This window comes from Homo sapiens, chromosome 11, assembly GCF_000001405.40.
Source record: "Homo sapiens chromosome 11, GRCh38.p14 Primary Assembly".
Classification (NCBI taxonomy): Eukaryota; Metazoa; Chordata; class Mammalia; order Primates; family Hominidae; genus Homo; species Homo sapiens.
In genome coordinates, this window is record NC_000011.10 from 113917534 (window position 1) to 113936967 (window position 19434).

General features: G+C 41.7%; 1 protein-coding gene across 5 annotated transcripts in view; it reads left to right on the forward strand.

Annotated features, from left to right (window-relative positions):
• Positions 1 to 19434, forward strand: part of HTR3B (5-hydroxytryptamine receptor 3B) — a 50157-nt gene that overhangs the window by 18611 nt on the left and 12112 nt on the right. For 4 of the 5 annotated variants that reach the window (XM_024448767.2, NM_006028.5, NM_001363563.2 and 1 more), the window contains 4 exons: positions 13851 to 13895; positions 14225 to 14334; positions 14756 to 14925; positions 15403 to 15560. In XM_024448767.2, the coding sequence (XP_024304535.1) occupies positions 14261 to 14334; positions 14756 to 14925; positions 15403 to 15560 (402 nt within the window). In that variant the 5' untranslated portion in view covers positions 13851 to 13895; positions 14225 to 14260. Of the gene's footprint in view, positions 1 to 9424; positions 9480 to 13850; positions 13896 to 14224; positions 14335 to 14755; positions 14926 to 15402; positions 15561 to 19434 lie in introns of those variants that run through there. The other variant, XM_017018552.3, reaches the window with a different exon arrangement.

Below are 19434 nucleotides of genomic sequence, written 5' to 3' on the forward strand. Positions count from 1 at the left end.
TTCTGCCAACTTTTGCTTCATGTATTTTGAAGCTATGTTATTAGGTGCATACACATTTAGACTTATATTTTTCTTTGTCTTTGGGGGTTTTTTTTGAGACAGTATTTTACTCTGTCTCCCAGGCTGGAGTGCAGCGGCATGTCTCACTGCAGCCTCAACCTCCTGGGCTCAGACAATTCTCCTGCCTCACCCTCCTGAGTAGCTGGGACTACAGGCACATGCCACCACACCCAGCTGGTTTTTGTATTTTTGGTAGAGACGGGGTTTTGCCATATTGCCCACCATGGTCACTAACTCCTGAGCTTAAGCAATCTGCCCACCTTGGCCACCCAAAGTGCTGGTATTACAGGTGAGCCACTGTGCCCAGCCTATATGTCTTCGTAATGAACAGATCCTTTTACTGTTATGAAACGCTCCACTTCATCTCTGATAATATTCCCTTTTATGAAGTTTTTCTTATGCTTGCTTCCCACATGGCATATTCTTGGCCATCCTTTTATTTCCAACCTATTTGTATCATTTGATGTCCTTTGTATTTGAAGTCATTTCTTATAACAATATATAGTTAGGTACATGCTGAAAAGAAATATATAGGCAGGCCCTGTGTACACTTCACTCAATCTCTCATACTGTTAACATCTTGCAAATATATATATATTACAGTGTCAATACTAGAAAATGAACACTGGTACAATCTATAGAGCTTATTCAGATTTCTCCTGCTTGTGTGTACTCGTGTGTGTGTGTGTGTGTGTGTGTGTGTAGTTCTATGTAATTTTATTACATGTGTAGCTTTTTGTAATCAGCACCACAATCAAAGTACATAATTGTATCAACACCACAGGGCCCCCAGGTGCTATCCCTTTATAGCCACATTCCTTTCTCTCTGCTGACTCCTAACCCCTGGCAACCACTAATCTTTTCTCCATCTTTAGGCTATTTCAAGAATATTATATAAATGGAATCATACAATATACTACCTTTGAGATTGGCTTTTTTCCTTTAGCATAATTCCCTTATGGTCCATCTGTGTTGTTGTGAACGCCAATAGTTCATTTCTTTTTGTTGCTGAATACTATTCCAGGTTAGGGCTTTTTTTTTTTTTTAAACCAGTATGACAATCTATGCATTTTTTTTTTTCAGTATGGAGTCTCACTCTGTCCCCCAGGCTGGAGTGCAGTGGCCCAGTCTTGGCTCGCTGCAACCTCCACGTTCTGGGTTTAAGCAATTCTCCTGCCTCAGCCTCCTGAATAGCTGGGATTACAGGCATGCGCCACCACACCTGGCTAATTTTTGTATTTTTAGTAGAGACGGGGTTTCACCATGTTGACCAGTCTGGTCTTAAACTCTTGACCTCAAGTGATCTGCCTGTCTTGGCCTCCGAAAGTGTTGGAATTACAGGTATGAGCCACAGTGACCAGCCAATCTATGCATTTTAGTGGAAATGTTTAGCTCATTTGCCAGTACCATCTTGCTATTTGTTTTCTAGTTTTCTCATCTGTTTTTTGTTCTATTCCTCATATCCTACTTTATTTTCCGGAATTTTTAAATTTTTAATAAATGTTAAAAATATTTTAAATATTGGATTATAGTTCCTCTATTAGCTTTTTAGCGATCCATCTTTGTATTTTTTTTAGACTTTGCCTTAGGAATTTCCATATTCATCATTAACTTATTACAGTGTACTTAGAATTAATATTTTGACACTTCACATAAAATGTACGAAACTTACAACAGTAAAATTCCATTTACCTGCTCCCGCCTCTTTTGTGCTACTTTTATCTTCAATTTTACATTTACATACAAAATATACCCACAAAATGATGTTATTATTTTAAGGTAACCTGTTAAAATAATTTAATGATTCAGTTTCAATTTATTTTAATAGGGATGTTTTTCTATGTTACTATTTTAGTACTACCAGTGAATCAGAGTCTTTGATTTTTTGGGACTGAGAATTAGGCATTTAAATCAATGAAAAAATTAATTTGAAACTTAAGAGTACAAGGTTTAGGCAGGGCGCTGTGGCTCACGCCTGTAATCCCAGCACTTTGGGAGGCCGAGGCAGGTGGATCACCTGAGGTCAGGAGTTCGAGACCAGCCTCAACATGGAGAAACCCCTGTCTCTACTAAAAAAATACAAAATTAGCCGGGCATGGTGGCACATGCTCGTAATCCCAGCTACTTGGGAGACCGAGGCAGGAGAATTGCTTGAACCTGGGAGGCGGAGGTTGCGGTGAGCCGAGATTGCACCATTGCACTCCAGCCTGGGCAACAAGAGCAAAACTCCATCTCAAAACAACAACAACAACAACAACAACAACAACAACAACAAAAAGAGTACAAGGTTTAAATTTTTTTTCCTTTTTACTGATTCAGGTTACTTTGGTGTCATTTTCCCCCAACTTAGATAAACCCCTAATCAATTGTTTCATTGTAAAGAGGAATATTTAAATGGTACCCCTAAAAATTCCTTTATTATTTTATTTTTGTTTTTATTTTTACTTTTTTTGAGATGGAGTTTCACTCTTGTTGCCCAGGCTGGGGTGCAATGGCGTGATCTTGGCTCACCACAACCTCCGCCTCCCGGGTTCAAGCGATTCTCCTGCCTCAGCCTCCCGAGTAGCTGGGATTACAAGCATGTGCCACCACGCCAGGCTAATTTTGTATTTTTAGTAGAGACTGGGTTTCATCATGTTGGCCATGCTGGTCTCAGACTCCGGACCTCAGGTGATCTGCCCGCCTCAGCCTCCCAAAGTGCTGGGATTACAGGCGTGAGCCACCGCGCCTGGCCCAGAATTCCCTCTTTTAAACAACAAATTGTACTTTTCCCAGTTTTTTGTTTGTTTGTTTGTTTTTTGAGATGGAGACTCACTCTGTCACCCAGGATGTAGTGCAGTGGCATGATCTCGGCTCACAGTAACCTCCGCCTCCCGGGTTCAAACGATTCTCCTGCCTCAGCCTCCTAAGTAGCTAGGATTACAGGCACCTACCACCATGTCCAGCTAACTTGTATTTTTAGTAGAGACGGGGTTACACTATGTTGGCCAGACTGGTCTCAAACTCCTGACATTGAGTGATCCACCCACCTTGGCCTCCCAAAGTGCTGGGATTACAGGCATGAGCTACTGTGCATGGCCATATTTCCCCAATTATCCTATTAAGTAAGAGTCCTAGCCCTAAGATCTTAGAAAATATTGTTTAATTAAATACCAGGAAATACCTCTTACTAAAAAGCCTAGTCTTAAACAGCTTGAATAGAAAATTCCTTCAAGTTTTTTATTTTTATTTTTTTTTGAGACAGAGTCTCACTCTGTCGCCCAGTCTGGAGTGCACTGGTGCAATCTCGGCTCACTGCAACCTCTGCCTCCTGGGTTCAAGCGATTTTCCTGCCTCAGCCTCCCAAGTAGCTGGGATTACAGGTGCCCACCACCACACCTGGCTAATTTTTGTATTTTTAGTAGAGATGGGGTTTCACCACATTGGCCAGGCTGGTCTTGAACTCCAGACCGCAAGTGATCCACCCACCTCAGCCTCCCAGAGTGGTGGGATTACAGGCATAAGCCATCCCGTCCAGCCCATCTTTTTCCTTTCTGACTTCCTATTTATTTTTATTTTTTATTTTTTTTTTGAGTCAGAGTCTCACTCTGTCACCAGGGTGGAGTGCAGTGGCACGATCTCGGCTCACTGCAACCTCCGCCTCCCAGGTTCAAGTGATTCTCCTGCCTCAGCCTCCCAAGTAGCTGGGATTATAGGCACCCACCACCACGCCTGGCTAATTTTTGTACTTTTAGTAGAGACGGGGTTTCACCATGTTGGCCAGGCTGGTCTTGAACTCCTGACCTTGTGATCTGCCCGCCTCAGCCTCCCAAAGTGCTAGGATTACAAGTGTGAGCCACTGCACCCGGCCCCTTCGTATTTATTAAGATAAAGAAAATTGCTGGCCGGGCGTGGTGGTGGGCACCTGTAGTCCCAGATGGGAGGCTGAGGCAGGAGAATCGCTTGGACCCAGGAGGCAGAGATTGCAGTGAGCTGAGATCGCTCCACTGCACTCCAACTTGGCGACAGAATGAGACTCCGTCTCAAAAAAAAAAAAAAAATTGCTCAGGCTTTCCTTTAGAGGTTTATTTGGAGATAAATGGAAAAGGTGTAAAGTATTTATATTAATATTTTCCCTTGGAACAAGTGTATCGAATTGAAAATATTTTTCTAACTCTTTCTTCCTACCCTGACAAAAGAAAGTAAAATCAGATTCTTTATGGTAGGTAAGGAGAACACCATTATCTTTTTAAAGATGTGGGATTTCCCTACCAGAATTGTAGAATATACTTGTTTGTTATTAGACTATGTTAGACATGTCATCATATTGAATTTGGCAAATTTTCTTACAGAAATCTGAAAAAATTTTATATTCTGTCCCTCTAGTTTTATCCCTGTCTACCATCTTACATTATCTTCTCCCGGTTCTCAGTACAACAATGAGCCTGGACCCATGGTTGTTTCCTGCCTGTAAGTCATTCATTCTGCTATTTCCCCTACCAAATGTCTTTCTCTTCATTCTCCATCTGCAAAATATTGTAGTCCTTCAAATCTCAGCTCTTAAAATAAATTTTCCTCATTTCTCCAAGGTAAGAGCACTTCCTTTAAATCCACTTAAGTCTGTGTGGATTTTCTTTTCCTTTCTTTTCTTTCTTTTTTGTTTTTATTTATTTATTTATTTATTTGAGATAGGGTCTCACTCTATCATCCAGGCTGGAGTACAGTGGCGTGACCTCAGTTCACTGCAACCTCCCAGGCTCAGGTGATCCTCCCACCTCAGCCTCCCAAGTAGCTGGTACTATAGGTGTATACCACCATATCGGGCTAATTTTTGTATTTTTTGTAGAGACTTAATTTCGCCATGTTGCCCAGGCTGGTCTCGAACTCCTGGCCTCAAGTGATCCACTCACCTCAGCCTCCCAAAGTGCTGGGATTACAGGCATGAGCCGCCGGGCTGAGCCAAGTCTGTGTTTTTATTTTATTTATTTATTTTTTCTGAGCGAGACGCAGTCTCGCTCTGTCGCCCAGGCTGGAGTGCAGTGGCAAGATCTCGGCTCACTACAAGCTCCGCCTCCTCGGTTCACGCCATTCTCCTGCCTCAGCCTCCTGAGTAGCTGGGACTACAGGCGCCCGCCACTACGCCCGGCTAATTTTTTGTATTTTTAGTAGAGACGGGGTTTCACCATGTTAGCCGGGATGGTCTCAATCTCCTCACCTCGTGATCCGCCTGCCTTGGCCTCCCAAAGTGCTGGGATTATAGGCGTGAGCTACCGCGCCCGGCAAGTCTGTGTATTTCTTAATGCACAGTTATTTGTTAAAATGTTAAATTATGCCCTAATGTAGTGTATGCTACTTGAGGGAAGGACTTTCTTACTCATATTCATATTTTCCATAACATGCAGCACTATGTATTTGATTTCCAAGATATTGGATTGATACTTGTCCAATGAATGAATGAATTAAAAAATATAAGGGTCAATTCTAGGATTATCTTTACAAATGGCTACTCTAAAAATGCTCTGTAAATGTCTCTATTGCATGTAGGTGGGATAAGCCTAAAGTTAGTTCCAGAGGCAGGGACAGTTCTGAAGGACTTGATAAAAATCACTCACAGATTCTGCACAGACAAGGACACTCCCAACGTGAATAGATAACTTGTTGGATGCATCTGCCAGCATCTGAACTGCTGGCAACTTTTGTTTAGAATGAAGAGCTTTCAGCCCAGCACCTCGCCTCCATTATAATGTTTTGCCTCCTGTTTTGTTTATATAAAAGACTACAGTCTTGTCTTAGAATTTCTGGGTATTATGAGTACCTTAGGGAAATCTGATTATAGAGATAATCTACTCAACAGTGAAGAGTTTCAATTTGTTTCTATTGAGTTTTGTCAATTCCGAATCCCAGATACCTTTGTATTCCAGTCCATTGACTAGAGCCTCCCAGCCAGACGTTGAGGCATCTGTTTCTATAGTCTCCGGAACTGGAAAAGATAAATAAGAATGTAGGGGAATTATCTGTATATTTGCTAACCACCAATTTAGATCTAAATAGACTCCCTCTGTTAGGAAGACTAATGAATTCCAATTCTCTGAAATATCCTTTGCTTTTAACAAGCAAGATGGAAGGTATCTAAAGAAAAAAAACAGGGCGAGATACACAGAGGGAAAAGCTGTGAATAATGCCACCAGAGAACCAATTATGTTCACCAGCTGGCATTGAGAAACTTGTTTCCTTTGACAAAAAAAGATTTTAGTTTTAGCCTCAAAATACTTTTTGACATTGTGTTCTTCAGGGCTGAATGACGAATCCTCTCAACCACCCCCATAAAGTGTTAGAAAAAAATTCTTAACATCATTGTTATATGTAATGTGGCAAAGCAATGGGCAAGAAGAGAAAAACAAGCTAAGGCATCAATATGGCAGTTAAGAAGAATCAACTGAATAAAATGATAGTGAAATGAAACATGAAAACAGAGACCTTCCTCCCAGCCATATGACTGAATCAATGAGGCACATTCACGGGGTATGACAGTGATAAACAAACTGGTAAGAACATCGAATAGATGTAAAAATGTATTTCTTGTGAAAGCATAGTCAACTACTATATATCTCAGTGATATAAACTGCATTTTGAACTTTTTTTCTTTCTATTTGTGGGGAACCTCATTGATTGCAACCAAGCCTAGAATGGAACCTTTTGTGCTTTAGTGGGTGAGACATAATCTATTTCATGATCTCTCAGTTGGTAAAATTTGCAAAGAAGGCTGGGCACGGTGGCTCACACCTGTAATCCTAGCACTTTGGGAGGCCAAGGTGGGAGGACTGCTTGAGTCCGGGAACTTGAGACCAACCTGGGCAACATAGCACCACCCTGTTTCTACAAAAATTAATAATAATAAATTAATTAGCTAGGCACGGTGTTGCACATCTCTGGTCCCAGCTACTTGGGAGGCTGAAATGGGAGGATCACTTGGGCCTGGGAGGTTGAGGCTGCAGTGAGCCATGATTGTGCCACTGCACCCCAGCTTGGGCAACAAAGCAAGACCTTGTCTCAAAAAAAAAAAAAAAAAAAAAAAGCCAAGAAGTGGTGACACCTAATCTCGAGCTCTCATTAGAGCTTTTTTTTCAGCTACCAGGACTCCCGTTGAGCCAGTCTTGTCTGGGAGTCCCCTGTGGTCCATCTGCTCCAAGTTGTTCCTTGGGGAAATACTTGTGAATTCAAGGTTTTCACTTTTTATACTACTTTAAAACTTGCCTTTCCCAAGTATCTATTTAAATTCCATTAATATCTGTAGAACAAGTTCACTCAGACCAGGCTTTGTTGAACCACTAAAGCAGGGCGACTATGTTTCTATGTGCTCCGAATGCCTTCTCTTTCTCAAAGAGAAAAAATAATGCTTATTGTTAGTAATTTGCTTTCTTGATTATAAAAAGGGGAAATTTAAAAAAGTTTCTTGTTTCTCTTTCAAATGATGCCACCTGGCGCAGAGCCACTGTGTAGTCTCTGTTCTGCACAATTCCACGAGCACCATCAACATGGACTATAATACCAGTGGTGCCTTCTGACCCCCTATCCAACCTGAATTCTCCAGAGTAGTACATAGTCTTGACCCTGTGCACAAAGAATATGGATTTTTATGTCGCTGGATAATTGGACAATTAATTTCGTATACCCAGTTCTGGGGAGGAAACGAGAGCTGTTATTTGATTTCATGCCATCAACTTCCTAAACACTTTCATTTACTGAAATTTGGTATTGTACTAAATATTACAGAAATACGAATGTTACCTAAGTGACTCTTGAGCTTTGAACCTAAATCAGCAAAGGAAATGTTTTACGAATTTGTTTTTTTTTTTTTTTTTTTTTTTTGAAACAGAGGCTCTCTCTATCACCCAGACTGGAGTGCAGTGGCGCCATCTCTGCTCACTGCAACCTCCGCCTCCTGGGTTCAAACGATTCTTCTGCCTCAGCCTCCCAAGTAGCTGGGATTACAGGCTCCCACCACCATGCCCAGCTAATTTTTGTATTTTTAGTAGAGACGGGGTTTCACCATGTTGGCCAGGCTGGTCTTACACATTTTATTTCCTATTTCTTCATCTTGTGTTTTTTATCCTTTTATTCTCTTTTAAGGATGCAGTTTTTAGTGATGGATTATACATGGAAAGAAATGAAAAAAAATGAGTTCAAGGAGAGTTCTTTAATAGTATGCATCAGACTTCTTATAAATTTACTGGAAATGTCTTAAAAAACAATTGCCCTTTTCTTTATTAATACATTTTTTTAAATAGCAGGTTTTTTTGAGATTTAATTCAACCACAAAATTCACCAATTTAAAGTATACAATTCAGTGTTTTTTAGTATATTCAGTTATGCAACCATCACCACTATCTAATTTCAGAACATTTTTATCACCTCAAAAAGAAGCCCTATATCCATTAGCAGTCACACCTCACATTCCACCCCCAGCAGCCCTAGGCAAACACTCATCTACTTTTTGTTTCTATAGATTTGCCTGTTCTAGACATATTATATAAGTGGAATCATACCATAAATGGCTTCTTATGACTGATTTCTTTCACTTAGCATGCTTTCAAAGTTCATATATGTTGTCACATGCATCAGTATTTTATTACTTTTTATTGCTGTATAATCGATTGTATGGATATATCACATTTTGTTTATTCACTCATCAGTCGATAGATGTTTATATTGGTTTCACTTTTTAACTATCACAAATAATGCTGCTATGAATATTTTTATACAGGTTTTTTGTGTGGACTTATTTCTTCAGTTCTCGTGGTTATATACTTCTGAGTAGAATTGTTGCATTATATGATAAATATATGTTTAATCTTTTAAGTAAATATCAGACTGCTTTTCCTTTCCTTTCCTTTCTTTTCCTTTCCTTTCCTTTCCTTTCCTTTCCTTTCCTTTCCTTTCCTTTCCTTTCCTTTCCTTTCCTTTTTTTCTTTTTCAGACAGAGTCTCACTCTGTCACCCAGGCTGGAATGCAGTGGCACGATCTTGGCTCATTGCAACCTTCAGCTCCCGGGTTCAAGTGATCTCGTGCCTCAGCCTCGCAAGTAGCTGGGATCACAGGTGTGCGCCGCCACACCCAACTAATTTTTGTATTTTTAGTAGAGACAAGGGTTTCACCATGTTGGCCAGCCTGGTCTCAAACTGCTGACCTCAGGTGATCTGCCTGCCTCAGCCTTCCAAAGTGCTGGGATTACAGGCGTGAGCAACCGAGCCCAGCCCAGACTGGTTTTCAAACTGACTGAATCACTTAATAATCCTGCCAGCAATGTTTGAGGGCTCCAACTTCTCTACATCCTTGCCAATATTTGTTATTGTCTATCTTTTTAATTTTAGCTGTCTTAGTGAGGATACAGTGGTATCTCGTCGTGGTTTTGATTTGCAGTTCCCTGGTGACTAATGATGGTGAGCGTCTTTTCATGTGCTTATTGGCCATTTGTATATCTCCTTAGGAGAAATATATAGCCAAATCCTTTATCCACTTTGTATTATCATTTTTACTTGTCATAAAATACACAACATAAAATTTATCATCTTGACCTTTTTTAAGCATACAGTTCAGTGGCATTAAGTACATTCACATTCTTGTGTTACCATCACCGTGATTCAGTCTCCAGAACTCCTTTCATCTTGCAAAACTGAAACTCCTTTTTTGTTTTGACCATTCTTTCCATCTTTTATTACTACTGAGGTTAAACATTTTCATGTGATTACTGGCCATTCATATTTCTTTGTGGGACAGCTTGGTAACTTAAAAAAATACTAATGTTTTTCCTGATTATAATATACTTATAGATATGTAGAAAATACAGAAGAATATAATACTATAGAGGAAAAAATTCACGTAATTCAAATTATAAAAGCAACCATCGCTGCTAATTTTTACTTTTCTCTGCACATGTTTTCTTATAGAATTGATATTCTGGACAAATGTGTTTTAGAGTATATGTTTTTTCTTTCCTTTTTTTTTTTTGAGACAGAGTCTCGCTTTGTTGCCCAGGCTGGAGAGCAGTGGCTCAATCTTAGCTCACTACAACCTCTGCCTCCTGGGTTCAAGCGATTCTCCTACCTCAGCCTCCCGAGTAGCTGGAATGACAGGCACGTGCCACTAAGCCCGGCTAATTTTTGTATTTTTAGTGGAGACGGGGTTTCATGGGCCAGGCTGGTCTTGAACTCCTGACATCAGTTGATCCTCCCACCTCGGCCTCCCAAAGTGCTGGGATTACAAGGTGTGAGCCACCGCACCCGGCCCTGTTTTCTCTTTTTTGTAAAATTTAATTTAATTTTAAGTTCCAGGATACATGTGCAGGATGTGCAGGTTTGTTACATAGGTAAACGTGTGCCATGGTTTGCTGCACCTATCAACCCATCACCTAGGTATTAAGCTCAGCATGCATTAGCTATTTTTCCTGACGCTCTCCCTCCCCAAAACCCCACCCTGACAGGCCCCAGTGTGTGTGGTTCCCCTCTCCGTGTCCATGTGTTCTCATTGTTCAGCTCCCACTTATGAGTGAGAACATGTGGTGTTTGGTTTTCTCTTCCTATGTTAGTTTGCTGAGGATAATGGCTTCCAGCTCCATCCATGCCCCTGCAAAGGACATGATCTCATTCTTTTTTTTATGGCTGCATGGTATTCCACGGTATATATGTACCACATTTTCTTTATCCAGTGTATCATTGTTGGGCATTTGGGTTGATTCCATGTTTTTGCTATTGCGAACAGTGAAAACTGAAACTGTTTACCCATTCAACGATAACTTTCCCTTCCTTCACCCCAGCAACTCATTCTGTTTTCAGTCTCTATGAATTTCAGTACTCTAGGTACCTCATTTAAGTGGAATCAGGCAGTATTTGTCCTTCTGTGACTGGCTTATTTCACTTCCCATCATGTTCTCAAGGTTCATCCATGTTGTAACATGTGTCAGAATTTGCTTCCTTCCTTTTTTTTGAGACGGAGTATCATTCTGTTGCCCAGGCTGGAGTGCAGTGGCACAATCTTGGCTCACTGCAACCTCCACCCCTGGGATCAAGCAATTCTCCTGCCTCAGCCTCCCTCGTAGCTGGGATTACAGGTGTGCGCTACCACTCCTGGCTAATTTTTGTATTTTAAGTAGAGACGGGGTTTCACCATGATGGCTAAGCTGGTCTCAAACTCCTGACCTCAAGTGATCCACCCACCTCGGCCTCCCAAAGTGCTGGGATTACAGGCGTGAGCCACCGCGCCCAGCTGTAGAATTTCCTTCCTTTCTAAGGTTGAATAATATTCTAATTTATGTATAGTCCACATTTTGCTTATCTATTCATCTGTCGATGGACACTTGGGTTGATTCTACCCCTTGGCTATTGTGAATAATGCTGCTATGAACATGTGTGTATAAATACCTGTCCAAGCCCCTGCTTTCAGTTCTCTTGGGTGTGTACTCAGAAGTGGAATTGCTGGATTATATGGTAATTTCATCTTTAACTTTTTAAGAAAGTGCCATACTGTTTTCCACAGCAGCTGCACCATTTTACATTTCCACCAACAGTGCACAAGGGTTCCAATTTCTCCCCATCCTCACCAACACTTGTTATTTTCTGCTTTTTAAAAAACAGTCGCCATTCTAATGAGTGTGAGTTTGTATCTCATTGTGGTTTTGATGATTTGCATTTCCCTAATGATTAGTGATTGTATTAGGAAGTTTGGGCTGCCGTAACAAATACCACAGACTAGGTGGCATAAACAACAGAAATTTATTTCTCACAATTCTGGAGGCTGGGAGTCCAACATCAGGTTCTGGCTGATTTGGTTCTTGGTGAGAGCCCACTTTCTGACTTTCAGATGGTCACCTTTTCACTGTATACTCACATGGTAGAGAGAGATCTTTCTCTCTTCCTTGTCTTATAAGGCCACCAATCCTATGAGATTAGGGTCCTATCCCTATGACATCATTTAACCTTAATTACTCCCTATAAGTCCTGTCTCCAAATATGAACACCTTGGAAGTTAGGGTTTCAACATATGGGTTTTGGGGGGACACCGTTTGGCCCATAGCAGTGACCTCGAGCATCTTTTAATGTGCTTATTGGTCATTTGTGTATCTACTTTAGAGAGATGTCTATTCAAGTCTCTCACCCATTTTTATTTTTATTTTTATTTTTTAGAGACGGAGTCTCACTCTGTCACCCAGGCTGGAGTGCAGTAGCAGGATCTGGGCTCACTGCAAGCTCTGCCTCCTGGGTTCACTCCATTCTCCTGCCTCAGCCGCCCGAGTAGCTGGGACTACAGGCGCCCACGACCACGCCCGGCTAATTTTTGTATTTTTTAGTAGAGACGGGGTTTTGCCGTGTTAGCCAGGATGGTCTCCATCTCCTGATCTCGTGATCCACCCACGAGCCTCAGCCTCCCAAACTGCTGGGATTACAGGTGCGAGCCACCGCACCCGGCCTCGCCCATTTTAAAACAGGGCTGCTTGTCTTTTGTTGTCGTTGAGTTGTGGGAGTTCTTTATGTCCTGGATACAAGCCTCTTAATAGATATGTGATTTGCAAATATTTTCTCCCATTCTGTGGGTTGTCTTTTTCATTTCTTGATGGTGTTCTTTAAAGCACAAAAGTTTTTAATTTTGGTGAAGTCTCATTTATTTTTCTTTTGTTGTCATGTCTAAGAAACCATTGCCTAATTCAAAGTCATGAAGATTTACTTACTCCTATGGTTTCTTTTAAGAGTTTTATAGTTTAAGCTCTTACATTTGGGTGTATGATTCATTTTGAGTTAATGTTTATATACGGTGTGAGATATCCCTTTTTAAAAAATTCCTAAGAACATCTGAGTTTCAGAATGTTCTTTACTAGATTAGATATGAAAAAAATTGGTGAGGAGGGTTTTTTTTTCTTTTCTCTTTTTTTTTTTTTTTTTTTGAGACAGAGTCTCTCTCTGTCACCTAGGCTGGAGTGCAGTGGCACAAACATGGCCCACTGCAATCTTGACCTCCTGGACTCAAGCAATCCTTCCACCTCAGCCTTCCAAGTAGCTGGGACCACTAGGTGTGTGCCACCACACCTGGCTAATTTTTAACTTTTTTGTAGAGACAGAATCTCACTGTGTTGCCCAGGCTGGTCTCAAACTCCGGGGCTCAGGCAATCCTCCTGTCTTGGCCTCCAAAAATGTGGAATCACAGGGACGAACCACTGTGCCCAGCCAGGAGGGTTTTTTAAATTGCTGTTTTGGGGGGTCTTTTAAAAATTTTATGGACTCATTGCAGACATGGGAAATCACGTCTATTATATCATTTAAAATATGTTTCATTTATAATAAGCTCATTCAGTCTGTTTTATAAGCAGAGAAATCCAAACATACGGTAACTTAACAGGAATGGCTGCCAATAACAGTTGAGCTAACACTCATTGAAAGATTATGAATAATATCTTGATTACAAATCAAAGCTTGGTCTCATCTTTTTAGCCCAAAATTACTAAGACAACGTAACATTTTTTAGTCTGATTAATGGTAGAGTAACTAATTAGAGTGGGAAAGAGATTAGCAAATCATTCAAGATGTCAAGGGCAGGCAAAGTGCCGTTTTGTCATAGATAATATAGTAAAGCTCATAGCGACAGGTGTGCATAATAAGTAAGAACTGAGAATGCCTAGGTATTGAAGAGTCTAGGTAATGTTTTTAATATCAGCATTATTTGGTTAGATTTGATTTTCTTCTTCTGAATTTCCTTACTGCTGAATTGGCCTTTGATTTATTGACATTCTAAGATTTGGAGTGGATTTTCTTTTTGCCTTGCAGGATGCAGAGAATCAAATATTAAAGACAAGTGTATGGTACCAAGAGGTAAATAATTATGTTTTCTTCTAAATATATTGCACTCCTGATCTGGATCTGCTGCAAAATATAGTTATTTAAGAAATAGGTATTATCTTTGTATTTATAGTTTCTTAGATCTGCAGCAGACCTAATGTATTATAATTCATTTAAGATGTATGGCCCTGGTTTCTGGTTGGGACTACCATCTTTAGGATTCAGATGGGAAGTCCTTTCTCCTAACAGGTAGAACCAAGAGGCTGATAAATTGGATTATTAATCCAAATGCCTCTTTAGTTCTTTAGCGAAGTAGATATTGCCCCATTTTGATAAGTTTTCTTTTTGGCTACTACTAACAGGTCTGGAATGATGAATTTTTATCCTGGAACTCCAGCATGTTTGATGAGATTAGAGAGATCTCCCTACCTCTAAGTGCCATCTGGGCCCCCGATATCATCATCAATGAGTTGTAAGTGTGCCAGTGTGTATTTCTGTGGGGTTTAGACTGCTTGGTATAGTCGGGCCAGTTGCTGCTTACTTTCAGTCAGTGTTGCTCATTTTTGCTTCTCAAGTTGAAGGGGAGCATATTGTTGGGAGTATTCAGGTTAGAAGTGCCATGTGTTGACATTATTTAAGATACAGATCTGGTTACTAATGTTGAGGTTACTCATTATGTCTGTGTTGTTATAGCAGCAAATGAGTTAACTTACGAGGCTGTCACTGAAAAGCTCATCTTTGCCAGGGTGAATCATCTCATGGAAAATGCGATTCTGTTTTGCAGGGCTAGGCTGGTCCTGGACCTCATGGTCACTACCATCTCCTAATCAGCCTATGTTTTGAAATGACCAACATCCTCTCTGTGACAACAAGTTCTCTTGTGTTTCATATAGTGTGGACATTGAAAGATACCCTGACCTTCCCTATGTTTATGTGAACTCATCTGGGACCATTGAGAACTATAAGCCCATCCAGGTGGTCTCTGCGTGCAGTTTAGAGACATATGCTTTTCCATTTGATGTCCAGAATTGCAGCCTGACCTTCAAGAGCATTCTGCATACAGGTAAACCATGAGAGATACCCATTAATGCTAGGTTGGTGCACATAGGTGAAATGATATTATACTATCCTTCAGGTCTATTTTATTCTTGCAGATAATTGGCTATTTAAAAATTGGAATCTCTTCTTGCGGTTTTTTGGCTCCTGCTGTAATCCAGACCAAGTATGATGCTGTAGGCCCCCATAGTTGTTTTGGAAACAGTGTTAGGCCTCTACTGCCATGGATAATATTATAGAAATCGCAGGCAAGCTCCATCATTCTACAGAGAGTGTATTCCAAGCCATAAATTCACAGTTGTTGTTTTTTTATGACTAGAAAGATTTTATTCCACATCCCTACCCCCTAATTCAAATAAGGCCAAGGAGACTGTGCCTATGGGGGCAGGAGAACGAGGAAGGATTCGAATTGGGAGCTGGAAAAGTGGGTGGATGTTGGCATCTCTTTCTCTCTGGGAAAGTCAATTGTTTGTGTTGTTTGCAGTGGAAGACGTAGACCTGGCCTTTCTGAGGAGCCCAGAAGACATTCAGCATGACAAAAAGGCGTTTTTGAATGACAGTGAGTGGGAACTTCTATCTGTGTCCTCCACATACAGCATCCTGCAGAGCAGCGCTGGAGGATTTGCACAGATTCAGTTTAATGTAGGTTCTTTACTACCTGTCCCCGTTGCCCGCTTCTCCCCAGCCTTTGGCCTTCTCTCTTGGGCCAAGGAATTTCTGCTCTATTGCATGTTCTCATTCATTATCACCCAAGAACAGGGACTTCAGCGGGCTCTGAGCATCCACCTGCATTCCAGCATTTCACAGAGCAGAGGTTCAGTGGGAGATGCTGGGCCCCTCCAGAAGATAACAGACACCAGAGGCCTGGTATTCAGACACCAGAGGCCTGAAGCATGCCCTGCAGCAGGAATCCTCCAATCTTTCCACACACACTTACATTATGGCTTCTAATTGCTACTCAGAAAAAACACAGACAAACCCACACACAACAACAACAAATTGGGAAGACTTTCTCATCAACATTATTGTCCTATTTTTTTTTTATTGAGTAAATTATCAACTAATTCCAGATGCAGATGCATAATACGATAATATTATTAACTTGAATATCTTAAGGGATTAGCCAATAAGACCCACAGAGACCACTGGTAGCTTCTGGATCAGAGGGAACAATTAACCCCCTCAAAATTATGATGGGAACCCACACTCCTCCGATGCAGCCCTTGGCTGCATTGTTCATAGGGAAATTTGTCCGGCATGAAACTAGGGGATGGTGGGGTACAGGACAGTGAAGCCCGCTGATTTGTACTCCAGAGGCAGCCATTGTCCCATCTTTGGCCCCCTGGGAAACTGTTTTGACACATGGTCTGCAACAATTTCACACAACTGGTAAACTACATCATTAGTATTCAGCAGTGCATTCTTCTTTTCTGCAAAAAGTCAGCTAGTGGTGGTGGTAGTGAGGGAATGGTGGTCCTTCATGCCAAGTAATGGATTCAGTTGAAAAATAGAAACCACAGGCAGGTCAGGACTGCACACAAGATGAATTATCCTAAAAATATACCTTTGGAATAAGAAGGAAAACTTAGACTAGACTAAGGTGCTCTGGTACAATGGATATGCTAAGGGGAGGTGAAGAAATAAACTATCATTCGCTGAGTGCGGTGGCTCATGCCTGTAATCCCAGAACTCTGGGAGGCCAAGGCAGGCAGATCATTTGAGGTCAGGAGTTCGAGACTAGTCTGGCCAACATGGCAAAACCCCATCTTTACTAAAAATACAAAAACTTGCTGGGTGTAGTGGTGTGTGCATGAGAATCGCTTGAAGCCGGGAGGTGGAGGTTGCAGTGAGCCAAGATCATACCACTGCGCTCCAGCCTGGGTGACACAGGGAGACTCTGTCAAAAGAAAAGAAAGGAAGGAAGGAAGGATGGAAGAAGAAAGAAGGAAAGAAAGAAAAAAAGAAAGAAAGAAAGAAGGAAAGAAAGAAAGAAAAAAGAAAGAAGGAAAGAAAGAAAGAAAAAAGAAAGAAAGAAAGAAACTATTATTGAGGTTACAGGTATCCCTTAATTGGTTAAAGGTGTATACAGCTTTCCAGCAAAGCTCTTGTTAAATCTGGGCCTCTTAGACACAGTTGTGGTTTGAACCTGACTAATGTATAATGCTGGCTAGTATAATCGCAACTCATACCCTCCTGATGGTGGGCTTTGGGCTCTTGCCTAGAATCCTGCTTGGTTTTAAGCAAAGCTTGCATTGTGGCCTGTTTGTCCACTTTTCTTGTAAGGAAAAGGGAAGGAAAGCAAGCAAGCTTTTTTTTTTTTTAAATTTCAATGAGTTTCTTGGCTAGGAGTAAACACCTCATTAATTTTAAAGATATCAGCCCACAAACATTATTAATGCAGCCCGAATAATGGAGAGCATTAAAGGGAAATGTGAAGGAGTAGCACATGCAAGGTGGAACATAGTCACCTACCAAGTGCTCCTGAGAACACTGCACACACCATTACCTACACTGCACGGAGGAGACAAACACAGGAAAGAGATGGGGCAGGTAAACAAGGGCGTGTGCTTGCATACACAGGCACACATGTGCACACACACACACACACACACTCTCTCTCTCTCCATAGAGCAGCTATTATTTGTAGTTACATGTCACTTTCCTTCACCCTAAATGTTAATTCGTCAACAGCAGCTGAAGGTTTTCTATATACCATCTCCATTTTAATTATGATGAACAGAGACAGAAGATTGTCTAATGGAGGGGAGGCTTCCCTGGATCTCAGAGCCATGGTCCAGTTCCTCTGCTCTCCTCACTGCCATGCTTCCCCCCGGGTACGTTTTGAAGTGGAAGTGTGCTGGAGGCAGGTGCAATTTGATTTCATGCTCTTGGAACTTTTCCATGGGTCCTTTTGCCCCGGGGGTGGACGTGGGTTATCTAGCAGGGCTGGCCTCTGCCCTGGTCCTCAGGAGCAGAGTAGGGAGAGAATCCTGAGTAGAGTCACAGATCATATTTGGTGGGACAGGAGGCCAGACTCAGGAGCAATTCTGCAGCTTTAGAAAGACTAAAAGTGGATTCAGTGACGATCACAGTTTTCTGCCTCCCAACCTCGCTCAGCCTCCATGCATTTCTGCTCTGTGCACAGAGCCTAGGCTCATTCTCTTACTCCATACCAGACATCCCACTCTGAATTTAGCAACCAAGGCACCTGGCTTTCCTTCAACAGCCCTTGGCCAGTGATGTGAAATTCAGAGCCTGATTCTATTATGCCAACACTGGGCCTGCCAGGGTCCTGACAGCAAAGGACCATCTCCTCTTAATCTACTCGCCGGCTGTGTCTCAGTCCAGGCTGCCCAGCGGGAGGTTGGGGACGGGTAGGGAAGTCAGGAGAAGCAATAATCTATTCTAAATTCATCCTTGCCCTTGGCCTGAGGTACACTGCTGCCATTTATACTAAATCAAGTGCTCCGGATGCCCCATGAGTTTCAGCTAATGTGCAATCATAGCTGCCGACTCTGGGACACAAATTGTTTATCAGAGGACACCACGGATACTTTGGAGTCAGGCTACATTCCACAGGGGGCCCAGAGCATAGGCACTTCTCCCTACAAAGATGTCTGTGTACAGCCTGGGACCCGGCCCAGCAGCCATGGGAGGGGAGGTTTCCTCCAATATATTATTGGAGGTGCTGGTTCCCAGAAACAGCAGGGTGAGAGCATTTGATTTTGCATGGCAGTGGTTTTTTTCTTTTTTTTCTTTAAAGAATGAGGGTAGAAGTGGGAGGAGGTAGGAATACAATTTAGGAACTCGTGTTGGATGGAAAAGGGTGGACAGCTGTGGAAACTAAACCGAGCCCAACCACAGATATCCTCACACCAAGTAAAGTGTTTATTCGGGCAGGAATTGGGGTGCGCACAGGGTGTCCTAGAAAATGCAAAGCGGGCATTTGGGAAAGAAAGGTGCTTCATTTATCCTCTTTTTCTGTTATAATTTTTTTTCTAGATTAGGTAGAGTAACTTTGTTGAGATACTTATTGAATGCAGCTTATAAACTTGATAGAAAATCAAGATCCCTCTAAGTGCTAGCAGATCATATGAGAGAGAGAGAGAGAAAGAGAGAGAGAATTTAGAGCCCTGGATATCCTTTCTGGGTCACTCAAGTGATGTGGGAATCACAGACTGACTTTCTGCTAATCCAGAGCGACCCATAGTCTAGATCCAAGTAACTCTGACTCCGGTGCTTAAATGGCAGCAACTTTCCTGTTCTTTCTGAGTTGGGAATGCTGGGAGGGGCTTTGGAGAGGAGGCAAATGGGTTCTTCTGTATGAAGCGGAGTCTAGGCGTCAAAATTCCAACTGTGTCATAAAGACGGTCATGCAAAACTGAGTACTGGTGGGGTCTACCATCAAGGAGGCAATTACAGGCTAACCTTGGGGCCTATTCCATCTCCAAGGAGCTCTCCACACACACATTCGGAATTAGATTGATCTCTTTCATTAACATCAATAGGCTCCAAA